Source organism: Homo sapiens, chromosome 9, assembly GCF_000001405.40.
Source record: "Homo sapiens chromosome 9, GRCh38.p14 Primary Assembly".
In the NCBI taxonomy this organism is placed as follows: Eukaryota; Metazoa; Chordata; class Mammalia; order Primates; family Hominidae; genus Homo; species Homo sapiens.
In genome coordinates this window covers 72,190,107-72,212,278 of record NC_000009.12, presented here as the reverse complement: position 1 = coordinate 72,212,278, position 22,172 = coordinate 72,190,107, and the positions used below count along the sequence as shown (strand labels likewise).

Below are 22,172 nucleotides of genomic sequence, written 5' to 3'. Positions count from 1 at the left end.
AATCTCCCGACCTCATGATCCGCCCGCCTCGGCCTCCGAAAGTGCCAGGATTACAGGCATTAACCACCGCGCCTGGCCATACTATTCTTAACTGAAACAATGCCAATATTATCTGTGAGGAATTTTACGCAGTCTTACTAGCAGCTCTCAGCACTAGAACCTAGTCCTCATCAAAGGTGCTGGAAGAATTCTATTTCAGCAAGAAAGCTGAGGCTATATGGGACAATGGTAATTGTTTTTACAGTGTCTCCATCTCTGTCATAAGAGATTTTTAAAAACCTTTCTGCCTCTCTCCTTCCCCTGTAATTCATTTAGATAACTGGCCATTAGATTAATCTTCCTTAAAATACCACTTTCATCACATCACTCACACCTGGACTCAGAACCTTTTTTGAGTCTTTGGTGCATATTTGAGCTCTTCTACAATGTGAACCCTCCCATCTGCCTACCCTCTTCTCCCACTGCCCCCAGGCGATGAATCCACTCCTCTAGTTAAACTACTGTGGTCCCTGCATCCACTATTGACACTCCTGTTCCCATACCTGTGTCCTTCCCCTATCTAGAAGACAGTTTGTCCTCTCCTCATCTTGTCTTTACTTCAAAGCCCAGTTTAAAGGACCCTTTCATAAAGCCTTCCCAGATGTCGTAGTTCTGGGTTCTCTTTGCCTTCTCTGAAGACTGTAGTATCTATTTTCAGAGTCACCCATTAGGTCAGGTCTTTTGCATAAGCAAACAGTGGCATCAGTGTATCAGCCAACAGTATTTACTGAGCACCTGCTATGTGCCAGGTACTGTGCTGGGTACAAGTTTTGGAATCATCAACCCGAATCCAGAATCAGCTCTTCTTACTAGCTGTGCAACCCTGGGCATGTTACTTATCCTCTCTGAGCGTCAGTCTAACCATCTGTAACATGAGGACATCAGTAACCACTTCAGAAGGCTGTTTGCTGCTGAACTAATTCTTCCAGAGTGCTTTGCACAATGCTAGACGTCTAGTAACAGCACCATAGTTGTTACTAAGGTTAGTGATCAATGGTGTAGGTATTCTGTCTGGCTTCTCAAGGGCAGAGACTATTTTTTATCTCATTGCGTTTCCAGCATCTAGCACAGTGCCCTGACTCTAGCCAATAGCCACCATGTATCTGCTGATATAAGAAACTATTACCACAACTAGAATTAGTAAAGTTTCCCTAAAAAGCCCTAAATTAATACACAAAATTCAGACTCATATATATCATTCTGTAACCAAAAATTGTAAGTAAATAATCAGAGTACTTAGAAAATAGAAAACACTCTATGATACAGTTTTCTATTTTCTAAGTACTTTAGAAAATTTCCTAAGGGCCACAGTGACATATAGACACGTAATTACTTGCAAAAAATGTAATGCTCATGTTCTAGCAATTAAAAGGCAGGTCTGCCCAAAAGTACATATAAGTTGTTTGCCACGATGGTCTGGCTGTCTTTGCTTGAGGTGCCCATAAATCATGCTTCATTTGCTCACCTGTAATGTCGGCAAGGAGCAGAGATGAGTCAGTGTGAATTGTTGCAAAGTAACAAGCTGTGGTTGTTCCATTCTTTAGTGTTCTCCTCTAAAAATAAATCACAAAAACCGCGAATCACGTGTGCTCAGAAAAGTCACATGGTACATCCAGAGGAAAACAGAATTTTAGTTTTTAATTTTAAAATGTTTTTATTTAAAGGTATGCCATCTTGATGTAGAGTACAGTTAGGTAAATGGCAAAAGGTATTTATATTCCAAAAGTTAGCTGGAGGAGAAGCTGATACTTCTGATTTTTTCTCGATTCACACAGTTCTGTGCTTCAGAATTCATTAAAATGTGATACTAATGAATTCCTTCTTTCTTAGGATTGTTTAAGGATATCCAAATTTTATTGCATCTGGGAGTACATAAATAAGTTTTTCTTCTACTACAGAATAAAAATATTCAGCCAGACTTTAGCTCAACCTGGAAGGTTAATCACATATATCTATCTCCTTTCCTTCGCAAACTACAACAAACATGACAGTAAAGGAGTACAAACGTTATTAACCCACAAGAAGAACATGAGAGGAGAGACATGAGCAGAGAAAACATTTCAATATCTTCTTGGAAGACAAAAAACATGGACGAGAACCTGGAAGCAACTTGGAAAGAAGGAGAGAAGTGTGTGGGTTTTAGCAGGGGACTGGCTGGAAGTCTATGCAGGTATGATTAAACCCTGGCAGGAACCTTGTTGAAATCAGCCAACCACCCTTAACTTCTTCCTTATAAGAGAGATTTACTCTTTATAGAACCTGGATAGTATTTAGAGGGTACAAGCTCCAAAAGAGAAGGTAAAGCAGAGGTTTAAGTGAAAATCTGGCTGACCTCAAGGGCACTCAGTCATTTTCCCCAGAATACCACGTGTACTACTCCCACAACTCCTGGCAGGGGACTAAACGATTATTTTCTAGAGAAAATGAATGGCTCTAAAAGAAAGATGTCTTCACAGTGACGTTTGGGACCCAAATTCACTGCCTTCACTACTCATCCTATAATGAAGTTACCATCAACAAGTGATACCTCCACCCAGAAATTCCAGTCAGCACCTTATAGCATCACAGTATGAATGTATGTCCAGGGTTTGATAGGCATTGGAGGGAATCTATTATCAAAAAGATAAGGAGGGGGAGAAAGAATCTGGAAAAAATCTTAGAGGAAACATAATCTATAAGGTCAGAAAAAAGCTCAGTTAAAAAAAACAACTATGACTCACATCCTCAAAGAAATAAAACACACTATTGCACCCACAAAACAAGAACAGAATGCTATGAAAATCAGAATGCAGGAGCTCTCCAAAAGTAAAAATATTATAAATGAAATGTGGAAGCCAGTAGGAGGGTTGTAGGATAAATTACAAGAGAATTGCTCAGGAAAAGGAAAAGATGAAAATCAAAGGTGAGAACATAAGAAAATTAGGCTCAATCTAGGCAATCCAACATTTAGAATAAGAAATCTAAATTTTTTTAAATAAATGGAAGGGACAAAAATATGAAAAATAATATTCATCTCCAAAATTAAAATCCTCATAGAATTGTCAGCACAGGGAATAAAAAGAGAACCCAAAGTAAGGCATATAATTGTGAGATATTAAGTTCGTAAGTACAGAAAAGATGCTAAAAACTCCAGGAAAAAAAAAAAAACTGGTCACAGATAAATGACAGGACTCACAACGACATTGGATTTCTCACTAACAATGCTGGAAGCAGAACAATGCCTTCAAATTCAACTCATATATATCATTCTGTAACCAAAAATCCTAAGTAAATAATTAAAGTACTTAGAAAATAGAAAACGCTCTATTATATAGGTTTCTATTTTCTAAGTACTTTAGAAAATTTTCTAAGGGCCACAGTGATACACAGACAATTAAGTACTTGCAAAAAATGCAATGCTCATGTTCTAGCAATTAAAAAGGAGGTCTTCCCACAAGTACATATAAGTTGTTTGTCACAACAGGAGTTATTTTTAACATATAATTTTATACCTTGGTAAATTATCAATCAAGTGTGAAGGTAGCATAGAAATATGATTAAGTACCGAAGGACTTGAAAATTTTACTCTCCATGAACTCTTTCTTAGGAAGCTTTTAGAAACTGTCTTTTAGTAAAACACAAGAGTAATCCAAAGTAATTCCTGGATCCAGGGAGTGGGCATTAAACGCAGGAAAGAGGCAAAGAGAATGCCAAGATTACAGTAGTGCTACAGAGAATGCTGACCAGAAACAAGAGAATGGGAGGAGGTGAGAAGATCTTCAAGAAAGAAAATGGAACGGATATTGCCTGACCTGTCTGAGCACTTGGAAAAAGGACTAGTGGATTGAATACTTTGGGGCATATCTTTAGCAGAAGCTTTTAAATGCAGAGGAAAACCCTCCAGACAGTGGCTCTTGCTTACGTTTTGCCTGTTATTAGCTACGTGACCTTGAGAAGGTTGCTTACATTCCATGTTTCCTCCTTTGTGAAAAAACAGGGTTTTCTTGACTAGTACAGACATCAGAAGCTCAAGTGTCTGCAGGATTGAAATAGTTTGGAGTTAGGATAATAGAAATGAACATGCCGTACCTTAGACAGTAGCCTCTAATTAGATCCAGTGTGTTCCATTTTTTGTTGTTGTTGTTATTTTGGGTTTTGTTTTTTGAGACAGGGTCTTGCTCTGGAGTGCAGAGGTGCCATCACACATCACAGCTCACTGTAACCTTGAATTCTAGGGATCAAGAGAGCCTTCCACCTCAGCCTCCCAAGTAGCAGGGACTACAGATGCATGCCACCATGCCTAGCTATTTTTTTTTTAAGACAAGCCCTTGCTATGTTGCCCAGGCTGGTCTTGAACTCATGGCCCCAAGTGATCCTCTTGCCCTCAGACTCCCAAAGTTGTTGGGATTATAGGCATGAGCCACCACACCTGGCCCAGTCAATTGTTTCAAAAAAGCAAATGAGAACTCAGTAATATTGGTTAGCCCCAAAAGTCAAAAGAATTTGGAAACCTGTCAATTTTTCCAAATATTAAGATAATTTTCATGTAAAACAAAAAGATCTGGCCACCAGCAGAGGATGTTTAGAACCTGTCAATTACAGACAAGGATGAGCTCTCCATCACAAATCCAGGTGGAAAGCCAATACCATGACAAAGGTATCAAATTTAATCTCCAGCAACTAGAAAAGTGTATGGGTTCTAGGATGTGCTCAGTAAATATTTACTGAATGAACACCTGAGGAAGCAGAATTACTAAAACAACAAGAGACATAAAATGAATGAAAAATAGCATCCTTTGATGAATAGGACAGGATGTCATATCTTGAAAGAGGAACAGGTTATTATAAATAGTAAGAGTGAGTTAATGATTTACAAAACTGGCCCATACCATTTCCTAAGAATGTAGTGTGAAAGAAAAGTTTAGAGACATGAAAACAGAACAGAAGTTTCAATATTTTTCTAATAGTAATTATCAAAAGGAAGAATAGATTGAAGAGAGGAATATACTCAGAAAGAGAGAGAAAGAGAAAGAGAAATAACAGAATTCCTAGAAACAGAAGGAAGACAGAAGTTCTCTTATTGAAAGAACTATGTATTAAAGAGAATGAATTGAAGAATTAAACTGAGAATGAATTGGGATGATCAACAATTACAATTTCAGAATATCAGGAATGAAGAAAAAAATCTCAAAGGCCAGAAAATTAACTAGAAAGAAATGAGAATCACATTGATGTCAGCACATTGGATGCTGATAGATAAATAATTTCAAATAGAATTCTCTCTACAGCTAAGGCATTGTTCAAGAGTCAAAAAAAAAAAGTAAAGCCATTTTTGATAATTCTAGGTTTTAGAATGTTTATCACTCACCTGATTGGAAAGAATTGTCAGAGGATATATTCCAACAAAAATGAATGAAGACAGGGATCCAAGTAGCAAAATAAAAAGCAAAGCTCATTGTTAAATTATAATTATAATAATTATTATTATTGAGATGGAGTCTCACTCTGTCACCCAGACTAGAGTGCAATGGTGCACCTTGGCTCACTGCAACCTCCACCTCCTGGGTTCAAGAGATTCTCCCACCTCAGCCTCCTGAGTAGCTGGGATTACAGGCACCCGCCACCATGCCTGGCTAATTTTTGTATTTTTAGTAGAGGCGGGGTCTCACCATGTTGGCCAGGCTGGTCTTGAACTCCTGACCTCAGGTGATCCGTCCGCCTAGGCCTCTCAAAGTGCTGGGATTACAGGCATGAGCCACCGTGCCCGGCCCTCATTGTTAAATTAAGTGCAGATGTTAAAATAAAAAACTGGAATTAAATTGAGATAATTTTTTTAAATTAAACTTAAAAGTTAAATATTATCTTAAATATAGTATACACGGCAAAAAAAAATGGAACTAAAATCTCAGATGATATAACATAGGACGTAGCAAAAAAGGTAGGGATGAAGAAGGGAACAGAATGAAAATGTTCTTGTCTTACCATATGGGAGAATATGCAGCAAAAGAATAGAAGTGTTCAAGACTTTTAACAACTTCATCTCATAGAGATAGAAAAAAATGTCAAATCAACAGAGAAAATGCAGTCTTCTTTTAAAAAATCGCAGAATAATCATAAAAATTAACCTTTTATTAGGTCATAAATCTCAGCTATCCCCAAGAAAAATGACACATTACATTTACTAACCAAACTAAAATAAAACTCAAAATTAAAACGGATATGTAATCTAAATTTTTCTAAATTTTCAAAATTTTAAGCACCTTTCTACAATCTTGACTTAAAGATGAAATTGAAACGGAAAGCTGGGGTTATTTAGAAGCACTACACAAACACTGATAGTAAGCCCCTTCCTCAGTGTCAGGCCCAAACCAGGAGGTACAGGGCTTATATGGGAGAAGATTTTAGTGAATGAGAAATTGAAACTTCAAATTGGACTGTGTTAAAGCAAGCTAAATTTGGCCTGAGCATGCTTCTCAACTTTGAGTTTATAAGGAACTGCAACCTAACTTAGTTTATCAACTCACTGAAAGCCTGATTAGTAATATGCTTTTGTAACAAATAGCTGAGTCTCAGCCAATCACAGCAGCTGAGCTCTAGCCAGTCACAGGTGCCAAGTGATTAGAACAAGTTTGAATAAGGCAAACCCAGAGCTGTAACAATCAAGCTGTTGCTATACCTCACTTCCATTTTCTGTCTTAAATGCTGCCTGCCCACCTTGCTGGGCAGAGTCCTCTGAACCTTTCCTGGTTCTGAGAGCTGCCTGATTCTGGAATCGTTCTTTGCTCAATTTACTCTGTTAAATTTAATTTGTGTGAAGTTTTTCTTTCCACAACTAGAATGAACTGAAAACACTAGAAAGTTCAGGAAGTGCCCTAATTACAGTAAAGGGACAGGACAGGGAGACCCCTGAGAAAGGGAAGAAGGAAGGGAGGAAGGAAACCCAAAGCTACTACTGTTTATTCCCACTGAGCTCATCCCACTGAGTAGGCTACGTGGCTAGTTAACACATCTCCACACCCTTAAACAGATGTCAGCCATACCCTCAGTGCCTCCAACTTAAAAGTTTGTGGGCCCACACTCATTCATTATCAGACACATAAGAAAGAACATAGGATATGTGCTCCGCAATTTTTTTTTTTTTTTTTTTTTTGAGACAGAGTCTCACTCTGTCACCCAGGCTAGAGTGTAGTGGCCTGATCTTGGCTCACTACAACCTCCTCCTCCGGGTTCAGGCGATTCTCATGCCTCAGCCTCCTGAGTAGCTGAGATTACAGGCACATGCCACCACACCCAGCTAATTTTTGTATTTTTAGTAGAGACAGGGTTTTGCCATGTTGGCCAGGCTGGTCTCAAACTCCTGACTTCAGGTGATCCACCCACCTTGGTCTCCCAAAGTGCTAGGATTACAGGCCTGACATCAAATACTTAAACCACCATCACACTCGGCCTGACATCAAATACTTAAACAAATCTCTGATGTCAGAAATAATTTATATGGAGTACTGCCTGAAAAATATATAGTCTTTGATACTCTACCTCTCTAAACATAAAAGAATGATCTATCTGGACTTCTTGATAGTATAGAATCTTTACAATATATATTTTGGCAGCATAGTGTCTATCCACACTAAGGAATATTGAGATTAATTTTCTTAAGTTTCAGTATGAAGCATAGATATGCTTTACCTTAACAAATGTGTTTTTTAATCATAAAAGCAGTGTAAATTTCAGAACTGATTTCCCTCTTTGGGTCAGGTTCTAGAAATCTAAAGCCAAATTCATGACAAACTAACAAATGCATGGACCCCCACAGTAGACATTGTTTTCTTGGTTTTATTTTACTTTTCCTTCCCCCTTTTTTTTCTTTGCCTTGATATCATGACTCATTTTCTTTTGTTGTATACTACGCAATTTTCAGCTATCTCACATCTTTTTTAGAACAATGTGAGGCATAAATAAATTTTGAGAATAAAGATTTGGTGTGGTTAACACCATTCATTAACACAATGCACCAGCTACTTTATACATAGCTTTAGTCCTTCTCAGCTTTTCTAGTGTCATGTGGTGCATGCTAAATATGTAAGATCCACAATTGCACTGAATTTATAATTACGTGAGGCAAGTGTATAAATGTTAGCACTTGCTCGGCCGGGCGCGGTGGCTCATGCCTGTAATCCTGACACTTTGGGAGGCCGAGGTGGGTGGATCATGAGGTCAGGAGTTCAAGACCAGCCTGAGCAATATGGTGAAACCCCGTCTCTACTAAAAATAGAAAAATTAGCTGGGTGTGGTGGCAGGTGCCTGTAATCTCAGCTACTTGGGAGGCTGAGGCAGGAGAATCACTTGAATCTGGGCAGCAGAGGTTGCAGTGAGCCGAGATCATGCCACTGCACTCCAGCTTGGGTGACAAAGTGAGACTCTGTCTCCAAAAAAAAGAAGAAAAAAAAAAAGCACTTGCTTTTACTCTCTAAGACTGGAATGATGCAAGACCAAAAAAACTGGCAAGATGGTTAGGTCAGTTGATGTGGAAGGCTTATAATACTGCCACCACCACATGTAGTGAACACCTTAGGAGGAATCAATGGGTCCCACAAAAATCCATGAGTGTTCAGACCAAGTGCGCTGAACACCAGGACATAATGATCAGACAAGGCAGCATTTGCGCTTTAGCTCCTTTACTGCAGAAACTGTTTCTAATTCCTGAGTAGATTCTGGTTCTGGGCACAGGATTGGAGTAAGAAAGGAACTGATTTTCCTGAAAGAGGAGAAGGAAGGACACTTTCAGAGCCTTCAACATATGGCTGGTACACACTACTGCCACTGTTCAATGACTGTACTAGCCCCAGAGTTCCCTCTAGTGGTGTCAGTGCTCAAGTCACATTACCACGTGCCATGCAATATGGGACCATCCTATTTTCCTTCCTTGCAAAGCTCCCAGAATAACATGATATTCCTTCTAACAGTAATTTAAATATTTAATTTTAAATTTCCTTGGGCATTTTTAAAGCAAACAAATAGAGCTCCCACCATGTGCTAGGCACTATTCTAAGAACTTCACAAATATTAACTTGCTTAATTATCATGAGAATCCTGTGAAATAGGTACTATCATGATCTCTATTTTTTACAGATGGGAAAAGTGAGTCACATAACTTTGCAAAGGTCACATAATGAATCCATATGGTCCTCAGAACAGCATTATGGATTAGCAGGAGTAGGGAAATACACATATTCATTAAACCCAGATTTGGTAAAGTAAAACACAGAAAGTAAAAGAGTAACGTAAACCCACCAGATTGGGGTTTTGGAAACTTGGATTCAAATTCTCTCTTTGCCACTGACTAGCTGTGTAGGTGAGGTGGTCACAAACTCACTGGACTGTGAAAAAGAAACTTAAAAATTCTCTATGGCCCATCTTAGGCTTAACTGCTTATGCTTTATAATTTAAATCTGTCCTAGGAAACTGATATTTCTATAGATGACCAAACAGAATACCACACTCACACACAAGATACTTACGACAACTCTGGTATATACTTCTTCTGCAAAGTCGATGTTCTGGAATCTGTGTTCTGCAGGAAATGTGTACTTGGTCAGCCACTCCAAGAGTGGCAGGTCTATGCTACTTCCAGCAAAGGAATACTGAGAGGCATGGATGTGTGTATCAACCAGCCCAGGCATGAAGAACTCACTGGAAATTAAGATGAGAATAAAAGTATTTAATAATATCTTCAGTCATTTCCCATATTTTTAAATCACATTTTTTCCCAAGCATGATTTCACTGTTCACCCACACAGGTTTATAGGTAATGCAATCAGACAACTGTAAATTCTCCAATTATTTAGAGGTCAGGACATAAAAATGAAGCTCTGCTAGGAGAGATATAGCTTCTAGGTTGGAATGGCTGGTCGGGGTTAACCAGTGATGACGAAGGGAGGGAAAAACACAGCATTGAGCAGAAGCAAAGCAGTGGTGGCACAAGAAAGGACGGGAACTCTGATTTAATCCCATGACTTTGTTCTCACAACTGATAGTTGTAGGTCAGAGATCAAGAATGGAAGAGGAGGCCTTTAAAACTTCTAGAGCCGTGCTGAGCAATGTGCACACCAGTCACTAAGGGCAACTAAAGGTGAGAAACAGACTGGCTGCAATTTTAGACTCAGCAGTCATCTTGATCTTGTCTGACTACAAGAAACCTAGTCTTTTCCCACGTGTTACAGAAACTGAGTTCTGAAATAGAAGCAGCAAGAGCAAGCTGGTTAGGGACAGGCGATCTCAGGAGATGGACCACAAACGGGCAGTGGTGTAAGTAGTGAAGCGAAGAGGGAGTTACATATGATGCTGTGACAACCATGCTCAGGATGCTTGTGATCACTAATGCTACCACCATGATCCACCAATTAATATTCATATTTCTATTAATTCTTATAATTAGAAAGTCCTGGAAAGTGTTCAGAGGCACTACCCACAGAATTGAGGCAGTATGGTGCTAACAGACACTTCATGCTTTTCTAAAGAGCTAATGCAGTTCACCACAGTCACTATTAAGTATCCAACCTCATCCAAACAGATATTTGCCAAAAGATGGGACCCTCTACTGCCACCATTATCCTAGGTAAGTATTCAATCACATAAGCAACTTGAACTTGAAACCTAACATTACAAATAATTCCTCATGCTATCAAATCAAATGTATACATACCACCTAACTGTAAGCCAAATAAAGCCATGAGTAACTCTAAATGCTTTATTTTAAAACAAGAGCAAGGAATGGCAGACTCAGTGGTCATCTTGATCTTGTCTGACTACAAGAAAGCCTCTACATCGCATGGAAAAGACTAGCTTTTTTGTAGTCAGTTATTATAATAATGATGGTGACAGCAGCTAATGTTTCCTGAATATGTACATTCACTAGGCACTGGCACAGCGTTCTACATACATCATCTCATCTGTGGGCAGCAGTTGAGTTAAAGTGTATACATTCTGGTTTTGGCCTGCTAAGATCTGAAATCAGGTTTGACCATAAATCAGCAGTTAGATATTTGACATATTAAAAAAAAAAAAAAATTCTGTGTGACTCAGTTTCCCCTTATGTAAAATGGAGATAGTAGTAGCATCATAGGGCTGTCATGAGGATGTATTTAGTGTGTGTAAGAACAATGCCTAGATAATGGAAAGCATCAATAAATGTTATGGATGATGATGATGATGATGTAATGTTCACAAGAAACTTAGTAAGTATGAGAGTACTGTTACCCTCCTTTACATAAGGGTAAGCTAAAGCTCAGGGAATTTATGTAGCTTGAAAAAAAGTAACTGTTAACTAGTCAGCTTTGGCGCTGAGATTCAAACCCAGGCAGTTTGTCTGTAGGTTCAGTACTCTCGGTCACTACGTTCCACGTGATGGAATTGTTAATTCACTGACTATGGAAATAAAGAACTGTGACAAATTTTTAAGGACGTCAAGAAGGCAGCATTAAGTGGGCCTATAATGTGGGAAGCACTCTGAAAGGGAGGGTGGAATATGGATTTCTCTCAGGTATCAGTCACTGATCTCTCTACAATGTCAGTCCTTTGGGTCTTTGCTTTCTCTCCCGTCATAAAACGGAATAGCAGTGTAACTTCCTCATGCAGTTAAATTGTTTAACCAAATAATATTTCCCAATGTCTACTATATTTAGGAAACCGCCAAGCCCTGTGGAGAGTCCAGAGAAAAATAAGGCATATTGTCGTCAAAGACTTTATAATCTAGTTGAGGAGGTTACGGGTGAATGAGGGAGACAGAGAGGAGGAGGAAGAAAAATGAGGAGAAAGAAAAAGGAGAGGAGGAGAAGAGGAAAAGGACGAGAAAGGAGGAGGAGAAGGAGAAAAAGAGGAGGAGGAGGAAGAGGAGGAGGGAAGAAGAAGAGCAAGAAAAGGAAGAAGAAGGAGAAGGGAGAAGAGGCAGAAGAAAAGAAGGAGAGGAGGCTGGGCACGGTGGCTCACGCCTGTAATCCCAGCACTTTGGGAGGCCAAGGCGGGCAGATCACGAGGTCAGGAGATCGAGACCATCCTGGCTAACACGGTGAAACCCCATCTCTACTAAAAATACAAAAATTAGCCAGGCGTGGTGGCAGGCGCCTGTAGTCCCAGCTACTCGGGCGGCTGAGGCAGGAGAATGGCGTGAACACGGGAGGCGGAGCTTGAGGTGAGCAGAGATCATGCCACTGCACTCCAGCCTGGGTGACAGAGCGAGACTCCATCTCAAAAAAAAAAAAAAAAAAAAAGAAAGGATTCAGATTTGAGGGTCTTATATAGGTAACTCTAGAAGTTGGCGATGCCAGAGTTCTCTGTGGAAGGAAGAACAAACCAACATCTTAAGCAGCACCTTCGACTTCAGGAGTAAGACTGAGAAAGAAAAGATCAGGATCAATCTTGGCAGAGTTATTGTCAGGAGGGTAGAGGGAACCCAGGACAGAGAGGTGTCAGGGACAGTAAAGAAGAGACATTCAAGAAGGAGCAGGGCAGTGACTAGTGCCAAAAACTGCAAGGGTCAAAAATGCATGGCCTCAGGAATAATCCTAAGACCCCCAATTTTGGAAAGATTTAGCTCTTCCTTTAAAAAGTAGTCACTGAGTCTCTAGAATGTTTTTGTTACTGCACTAAGTGCTAAAAAGAGAGTGTTTGAGAAAGTCCTGTGCAGATGGAGAGCGCCCTTTTAAAATATTTGGTAGTGAAAGTTAGGATGAAGAAGAGTTCAAGTCACTTTATGTTTTTCATGTAGGAGAAATGAGCATGTTCATTGTAGCTGAGATGAGAGAGTGAAAGATGATTCAGAGTACAAAGTCTTCAGAGGCAACAGAAGCGCAAGGATTTATTGCATCTGAAGTGTGATTTTTTTACCCAGAAAAGTTACAATCCTTTTAAGGAAATAGTAAGCATCGTGAAATGATTATTAATAAAAAGATTCCCAGAATCAAGGTTACAGTCCAGGATTAATTACAGATAATATTGGTACACACAGAAGCATGGAATGTGAGAGTGCACATGAGATTAGAGGTCAGTGAGCCCACCTGCTCATTTTATAGAGAGAACAAAAGGAAGGTCTGGGATTGCAAGTTTATTTTTGACTTGCAATTTGTTGGTGGCTCAGCTAGGATTCAAACTCGGTTCTCCACTCACAACATCACTTATGGCTAAATTGTAGCTACTACAAGCCCAGCTGCAGGCAAAGCAGAGAAGAGATCTGAAGGCAGCAGCAGAAGGTAAAAAAGCTCTCCTTTCTCCCTTCTTTTCAGCTTTCCTCTTCTCACTTTACTTAATCAGCATCATAATTTCCTCAGAGAATCTCAACTTCCCCCAGGTATTCCAAATCTGCAGTGTTGGCCAAGCTGTATCATAACCTGAGCAAAAAAAATTTTATATATATATATATCCCCCTATATATGCTTATCAGAACATCCACCTATCTTTTCACCAAATGGAACACATTAATAAAGTTTTATAATCAGAAAACAATACAGGTATATATCAATACATGTGTGTATTACCCAAACCATCATCACCATCATCAGCCTGCCCTACCAGTAATGCAATGGCATCATGGGCCTGAGAATCCATGTTATTTGAAAGTGACTGTTCCATTGCACAAAAAAAATGCATGGCTGTAAAACAAACAACATCTTGTCTTTATTTAAAATGTTGGTATTTTGTTCATCATGAGTTTTTGCATTAATTTTTTTTTTTTTTTTGAGATGGAGTCTCACTCAGGCTGTAGTGCAGTGGTGCGATCTCGGCTCACTGCAACCTCTGCCTCCCAGGTTCAAGCCATTCTCCTGCATCAGCCTCCCGAGTAGCTGGGACTACAGGGGCCCACCACCATGCCCGGCTAATGTTTTGTATTTTTAGTAGAGATGGGGTTTCACCGTGTTAGCCAGGACAGTCTCGATCTCCTGACCTCGTGATGCGCCTGCCTCGGCCTCCCAAAGTGCTGGGATTACAGGTGTGAGCCACCGCACCCGGCCCACACCTGGCTAATTTTTGTATTTTTAGTAGAGACAGGTTTCACCATGTTGGCCAGGCTGGTCTTGAACTCCTGACCTCAAGTGATCCGCCTGCCTCGGCCTCCCAAAGTGCTGGGATTACAGGGTGAGCCACCGCGCCCAGCCATGCATTACTTTTTATATTTTAAAATATTGTCTTAAAAGTATTTATCTTGATTACTGAGTTTTTGCCCCTCCCCCGCTGCTTTTAAATTTTGTGCCTGAGGTGAATGCCTCACTCCCCTCACCCTAATCCTGGCCCTGCAAACCTGTCCAGGGTCCATGGCCACCATCTGATTCACTCCTACCACAGCACTGCCCATGGTACTCCAGTTGTGATTTCCCTTTTCTAAAAATCCAGACAGTACTGAGATAGACCTGTAGATACACTGTGTATTGGGCCAAGTCTATTAAAAACTGTCTGAGACATCCCTTTATGGTATTTTAATCATGACTTAAATTCAACCGCACATAACTTGTGTGCTTGATATAAGAATCTCTGCATTTTAAATATAATCTTTCTTCAAAGACTTCAGTCTTCTACTAAAATTTAAATTATTTCTTACCTTACTACTTCCTTGTGTGCAGTACTTACATACGACCCCCAGAATCTGCATTTCTGATGGATTTAATTTCAAAAGCAACCTCATAAAGAGGAAGAAAAGGAAGTGAAGACCCACAGTTATGTTTACCCTCCTCTCCATCCTCCAACCGTTTCCACCATTCTCTCATCCCATCTCAGCCTCTACTTCAACTGCTTCCAAGCCTTCTTCTAATCCTGCATCACAAAGACACGCAAGCAGGAGACTATAAATGTCAGTTGCTCCTCATCATAGATTCTTACATGAAAATCTAGCAAGAGGAAGTAGATGGTAACAGCAGAAGCTACTATATTCATTTCCATGCCCAGCGCCCACACACTTCCAAGCCCATAGAGAGGCAGCAGGGAGAGGGAAGGAGGCAAGGGATGTGAGTAAAACTGCAGGTGGAGTGAAACATTATAAATAGTCACTCTGTCTCTCTGGACTATGACCAGGGATGAGCTTCATAGTCTAGATGACCTCAAAGAGGGAAAGTGGCTTGCTTGACTTTTAACATCTGCAAAGCTACAGTACAGTCTGTGGATTCAAACCAGGTATTTTCATTCCTAGTTCAATGTTCCTCTATTACGTGAAACAGTGTTTCTCTATATTACGTGAAAGTCAATTCCCAAGTTATCAAAGTGTTTTCAGAATATAAATGGTACCAATTTTATTGGCCTTGGAACTTACTTGGCCTGAAACAAGATAAAATATTTTAGCTTTAAAAAAGTCTTCCCATTCATGTCCTTTGCAGGGACATAGATGATGCCAGAAGCCATGACTTTCAGCAAACTAACACAGGAACAGAAAACCAAACACCGCATGTTCTCATTCGTAAGTGGGAGTTGAACAATAATAACAAATGGACACAGGGAAGGGAACATCACACACCGGGGTCTGTTGGGGGGTGGGGGGCAAGGGGAGGGAGAGCATTAGGACAAATATCTAATGCATGTGGGGCTTAAAACCTAGATGACGGGTTGATAGGTGCAGCAAACCACCATGGCACATGTATACCTGTGTAACAAACCTGCACGTTCTGCACATGTATCCCAGAACTTAAAGTAAAATAAACAAAAAATAAAATAAAAATTATAATCAAAAAAAGTTTTCCCATTTCCATAAAGCATATCAACCAGGCTATGAGGAAACTGAGCTTTTTTTTTTTTTTTTTAACAGAGTCTTGCTCTTTCACCCAGGCTAGAGTGAAGTGGCATGATCTTGGCTCACTGCAACCTCTGCCCCCCGGGCTTCAAGAGATTCTCCTGCCTCAGCCACCCAGGTAGCTGGGATTACAGGCATCATATGCGCCACCATGCCAGGCTAATTTTTGTATTTTTAGTAGAGACGGGGTTTCACCACGTTGGCCAGGCTGGTCTTGAACTCCTGATCTCAGGTGATCCACCCGCCTCGGCCTCCCAAAGTGCTAGGATTACAGGTATGAGACACCATGCCTGGCTGGCCCAATCATTTCTTTAAGAACTGTATAACATATATTAAATATATATTATATATGAAATATAACGAATATTAAAAACCACTAAAAGTAGATGAAATATAATATCACAGCTCAAGTGTGCTTCTGAACTTCCCCAACCAATTGATTCTCAAATTTTCTTTCCTCCCTACTTCTTAATAGTTAACCTCTATCATACCCCTCCCCACCTTGTTTCCTTCCTTATAGAAGCTATCACAATCTACTATGGTCATGCGCAGGTATCTGTTTGCTTGTTTACTGTCTTTGTCCTCCATGGACTGTAAACCCTGTGAGGACAAGGACTTTGAAGATCTTTTTCACCTCCAGACCCTCCAGTACTGCACATAGCATGCTCAACAAATATATGCTAAAGAAATTGATGAATGATGGCAGCCTCTAGCTCTCTAAGTTTCCATCCTTCAGCTTCCTGTATACCTTCTCCTTCCCATCTCCTCCCTTAACAAATAATTAATACAAAATAATTATTGTTAAATTAATATTATTTTTTAAAGTCTCTCTGTCTCTCAAGGCAGGTTTTCTATAATTTAAGCTTATTAGTGGCACCCAGTAAAAGGGAAGAAGTAACAACTTACTGGTGGCTCAGTTCTCTTATTTCACACGGCTTGAAGCACCATTCTTTGGCCAGTTTTTCCTGTTGAGATGCTTCTTCTAAAAACACTATCTTTAAAAGAAAGAAAGAAAAGAAAAGAAACACATATTAGTGAGTCACAGTCATTTGTTTTTTATTAAATATGTAAATATTCTTAAAAGAGACTATAGCTGAGTTAAAAGGTATTTGATACCAAATGGAATTGAGTTTAGAGGCAAAAAAAAAAAAAAAAAAGACAGGTGTTTGCTTTTGGTCATCCAAAGACAAGCTGTGTGTGATTCCTCCTTTTCTGCCATAATATCAATCTGAGACTTCAAAAATTCTCAATTGAAGATACAAGGTATTAAAAATGGCTAATTGGAGAGGCGGAGCAAGATGGCAGAATAGAAGGCTTCACCAATCACCCCCTGCAAGGACACCAATTTGACAACTATATTAAAAAGCACCTTCATAAGAACTACAAATCAGGTGAGCAGTCATGGTACTTGGTTTTAACTTTATCTTGCTGAAAGAGGCACTGAAGAGATACAAAAACCAGTCTTGAATTGCATATGCTACCCCTTCCCTACCCCCCAGGGCGTGGTGATGTGGTGTGGAGAGCATTTCTGGGCACTGGTGGAAGGAGAGCATAGCAATTATGAGCCACCGAACTCAGTGCTGTTCTGTTATAGCAGAAAGAAAACTGGACCAAACTTAGCTGATGTCTGCCCACAGAGGGAACATTCAAACCAGCCTTGGCCAGAGGGGAATTGCTGATCCCAGCAGTTGGGACTTGAGTTTCCACAAGCCTAGCCACAGACTACAGTGGGCTAAAGTGCCCAGAGGCCCTAATAAACTTAAAAGCCAGTCTAGGTCCCAAGGACTACAACTTTTGTGTGAGTCCTAGTGCTGAACTGGGCCCAGAGACAATAGACTGGGCCGGGAAGGGGGGGAACACAACCTCCTGAGACACAAATTGGGGTGGCTGCAGGAGTGCTGGCATCACCCCTCCCCTAACTCCAGGCCACACAGCTCATGGCTCCAAAAGAGACTCCTTCCTTCCACTCGAGGAGAGGAGAGGGAAGGGTGGGGAGGACTTTTTCTTGCATCTTGGATACCGGGTCAGCCACAGCAGGATAGGGCACCTGTCAGGGGTGTGAGACTGTCTTTCCAGGCCCTAGCTCCTTGACAGCATTTCTAGACATATTTTGGGCCAAAAGGGAACCTGATGCCTTGAAGGAAAAGACTCAGTCCTGGTAGGATTCGTCACCTGCTAACTGAAGAGCCCTTGGGCCCTGAATAACCAGCAGCAATACCAGGTACTATGTTGAGGGCCTTGGGTGAAACTCAGCACATTCACCCAAGCTGTGGTGGCTATGGGGCAAGACTCCTTCTGCTTGAGGAAAGCAGAGGGTAAACGGTACTTTGTCTTACACTTTAGGTACCAGTTCGGCCACAGAAGAATAAAACATCAAGCAGGCTCCTGGAGTCCCCAGTTCCAGAACTTGGCTCTTACACAGCATTTATGGATCTGCCCTGGGCCAAAGGGAAGCCCACTGCTCTGAAGAGTTTATCCCAGGCCAGGCAGAATTCACAAGTTGACTAAGAATCCTTGGGCTTTAAGGGAACATAGGCAGTAGTCTGGCAGGACTTCCAGGGGACCTGTGGTGGCAGTGGACACAAGGTAAGGCTCCTCCACCTTCAAAAAGGGGAAGGAAGAGTGGGAAGGACTGTATCTTGTGGTTTGAGTTCAGCCCAGCCACAGTACAATAGAACACCAGGTGGCTTTCTAAGTCTTTCGACTCTAATCGCTAGCTCCCTGACGGCACCTCTAGAACTGCCAGGGAACTGCGGTGACTTACTATCCTGAAGGGAAGGATACAAGCCTGGCTGGCTTCACCACCTGCTGATTGTAGAGCCCCAGGGCCTTGAGTGAACATAGACAGTAGCCAGGGAGTGATTACAGAAAGCTGTGGACAACACCCAGTGCTGTGCTGGCTTCAAGTCTGACCCAGCACAGTCATAGTGATTGTGGCCATAAGGGTGATTGTGGCCACAAGGGTGCTTGTGTCACTCTACCCCGAGCTTCAGGTGGTTAAGAACAGAGAGAGAGACTGTTTGGGAGATAGTAAGGGAAGAGAACAAGAGTCTTTTTGCCTGGTAAACCAGAGAATTCTTCCAGATCTTGTTCAGGACCATCAAGGCACTACCTTTACGAGTCTGCAAGAACCACACTATTACTGGGCTTGGGGTGCCCCCTAAAGCAGATATAGCTTAGATCACAACACCAAAGTCCTTTCAAATACCTGGAAAGCCTTCCCAAGAAAGACAGGTACAAACAAGCCCAGATAGTGACAAGTATAATAAATACCTAACTCTTCAATGCCCAGGCACAAACATCTACAAGTATCAAGACATTCCAGGAAAAAAAAAATGACCTAACCAAATGAACTAAATAAAGTACCAGGGATTAATCCAGGAGAGAGAAAGATATGTAATCTTTCAGAAAGAGACTTTAAAATACTTGTTTTGAGGAAACTCAAAGAAACTCAAGATAACACAGAGAAATAATTCAGAATTCTATCAGACAAATTTAACAGAGATTGAAATAATTAAAAAGAATCAAGGAAAAATCCTGAAGCTGAAAAATACAATTGGCATAATGAAGAATGCATCAGACTGTTGTTTGTTGTTGTTGTTGTTGTTGTTGTTTTGAGAAGGAGTCTCACTCTGTCACCAGGCTACAGTGCAGTGGCACCATCTCGGCTCACTGCAACCTCCACCTCGTGGGTTCAAGTGATTCCTGTGCCTCAGCCTCCTGAGTAGCTGAGATAACAAGCCTGCACCACCACACCCAGCTAATTTTTGTATTTTTAGTAGAGACGGGGTTTCACAATGTTGGCCAGGATGGTCTCGATCTCCTGACCTAGTGATCTGCCTGCCTTGGCTTCCCAAAGTGCTGGGATTACAGGTGTGAGGCAATGTGCCCGGCCCAGAGTGTTTTAATAGTAGAATTGATCAAGCAGAAGAAAAAATTTGTGAGCTTGAAAATAGGCTATTTGAGGCCAGGCACAGTGGCTCATGCCTGTAATCCCAGCACTTTGGGAGGCCGAGGCAGGTGAATCACGAGGTCAGGAGTTCAAGACCAGCCTGGCCAACTTGGTGAAAACCCGTCTCTACTAAAACTACAAAAATTAGCTGGGCGTGGTGGTGGGCACCTGTAATCCCAGCTACTCAGGAGGCTGAGCAGAGAGTTGTTTGAACCCGGGAGGCAGAAGTTGCAGTGAGCCGAGATCGCGACACTGCACTCCAGCCTGGGCAACAGAGTGAGACTCGTTCTCAAAAAAAAAAAAAAAAAAAAAAAAAAAAGGCTATTTGAAAATACACAGTCAGAGGAGACAAAAATAAAAAGAATAAAAAACAATGAAGCAAGCCTATAGGATCTAAAAACCCACAAATTCAATAACTCATAGATTTGCTTCTAAAGAGGAGGTAGGAAAAGAGATAGGGATGGAAAGTTTATTCAAAGGGATAATAAAGAACATTCCAAACCTAGAGAAAGATACCAATATCCAAGTACAAGAAGGTAACAGAATACCAAGCACACTTAATCGAAAGAAGAGTACCTCAAGGCATTTAGTAATCAAACTCTCAAAGATCAAGGATAAAGAAAGAATCCTAAAAGCAGCAAGAGGAAAGAAACATGGCTAGGCATGGTGGCTCATGCCTGTCATCCCAGCACTTTGGGAGGCCGAGGTGGGTGGATCACCTGAGGTTAGGAGTTCAAGGCCAGCCTGGTCAACATGGTGAAACCCCATCTCTACTAAAAAATACAAAAAATCAGCTGGGTGTGGTGGTGGACACCTGTAATCCCAGCTATCTGGGAGGCTGAGGCAAAAGAATCACTTGAACCCAGGAGGTGGAGGTTGCAGTGAGCCGAGATTGCGCCATTGCACTCCAGCCTGGGCAACAAAAGCGAAAAGAATCAAGCTACTCCAGAGGCTGAGGCAGGAGAATGGCGTGAACCCGGGAGGCGGAGCTTGCAGTGAGCCAAGATAGCACCACTGCAGTCTGGCCTGGGCAAAAGAGCAAGACTCCGTCTCAAAAAAAAAAAAAAAAGAGCCTTCCCTTTACTTTCTCCCTGTACTTTTGCCCAGTCCACCAGCCATCTTCTTCCTCCATTTTCCTTGTCGAGGTTAGATTTCACTATCTATTATTTCATATTTCCATTGTCTTTTACTTAACATACAGCTGGTAAAAATAACTGAGTCCCACTTTCCCTTTTTCTGGGCTGCACCTGAGTAGCCATGCAGTACTGGAACAAGGCACGCAGCACAGTAGATGGAATAGCCATAGTCACCAAGCTCAAATGTGCCCCTACCAAGGCTTCTGCCTGGCACCCTACGATATTTCTCTAGCATTGTGGTCTTTAACTGTCAATAAAATGATAGAAGTCCTCATTGCTTATCAATTGACAGATCATTAAAGATATTTTTGATTGATTAATATGTAAATTTATCACATAACAAGTTCAAAGAATTGAATGATATTGCTACAATGAAACTTTTTCCATTCGCATCTACTCGATTTATGTTAAAATTATTCCTAAAACTCACATCTATAAAAATGGAAAATAAGAAAAAATTGATGCTGCCCCTTATTTTATTCTACCAACAACTAACAATCATTCATAGATATATTATCAAACTGGATGAAAAAAACTTTTTACACTTAACAAATTACTTTCAAAACGTGTAATACAATTTTTTTTTTTAATTTTCTTATATTCCCGGGCCACTGTAAATGCTTAAATCTATGTACAGATATTTTACTACAATGGTTGATCAACAGAAGGCTTTCAAGTATAAAAATATATTGCATTAGTAAAAAGTCTGTGAGGGAAGTAGAATAGAATTAGTAATTCAAGAAGAAAAGGGGATTACAGTTGCCCCTTGAATAATGCAGGGGTTAGGAGCACCGTAGTCTAAAATGAGCGATAACTTTTGACTTCCCAGAAACTTAACTACTAATAGCCTACTGTTGGCCAAAGACTTACCAATAACATAATCGACATAATCAACATAAAGTTAACTAACACATATTTTCTATATTATATGTATTATATACTGTATTCTTCACTAAAGTAAGCTAGAGAAAAGAAAACATGGCGGGGTGAAGTGGCTCATGCCTGTAATCCCAGCACTTTGGGAGGCCAAGGCGAGCAGATTGCTTGAGGTCAGGAATTCGAGACCAGCCTGGCCAACATGGTGAAACCCCATCTCTACTAAAAATACAAAAATTAGCCAGGCGTGGTGGCAGGTGCCTGTAGTCCCAGCTACTTGGGAGGCTGAGGCAGGAGAATTGCTTGACCTGGGAGGCGGAGGTTGCAGTGAGCCAAGATCATGCCACTGCACTCCAGCCTGCACAACACAGCAGAGACTTTGTCTCAAACAAAACAAAAACAAACAAACAAAAAAACAAGAAAA

The 22,172-nt window shown here is 40.8% G+C and overlaps 1 protein-coding gene across 39 annotated transcripts in view, besides 1 other annotated feature; it reads right to left on the bottom strand.

Moving 5' to 3' along the window:
* GDA (guanine deaminase) overlaps positions 1-22,172 on the bottom strand; it is a 145,262-nt gene that overhangs the window by 47,591 nt on the left and 75,499 nt on the right. For 17 of the 39 annotated variants that reach the window (XR_001746423.3, XR_007061376.1, XR_007061377.1 and 14 more), the window contains 4 exons: positions 16,691-16,779; positions 9,537-9,708; positions 3,941-4,054; positions 1,505-1,592 (listed from right to left, as the gene is read on the bottom strand). Coding sequence is in view for 27 of the 39 variants with exons in the window: in XM_047424099.1 (XP_047280055.1) it covers positions 1,505-1,592; positions 3,941-4,054; positions 9,537-9,708; positions 16,691-16,779 (463 nt within the window). In the remaining 12 variants the exon portion in view is untranslated. Of the gene's footprint in view, positions 1-1,504; positions 1,593-3,940; positions 4,055-4,107; positions 4,218-9,536; positions 9,709-14,731; positions 14,818-15,637; positions 15,679-16,690; positions 16,780-22,172 lie in introns of those variants that run through there. The other 22 variants (XR_007061381.1, NR_147240.2, NM_001242507.3 and 19 more) reach the window with 8 other exon arrangements.
* Positions 8,790-8,949: a silencer, noted in NCBI's record as "silent region_19946". NCBI's record gives its function as "represses an Ori minimal core promoter by ATAC-STARR-seq in GM12878 lymphoblastoid cells {active_cell/tissue: GM12878}" and the evidence as "EXISTENCE:reporter gene assay evidence [ECO:0000049][PMID:35858748]".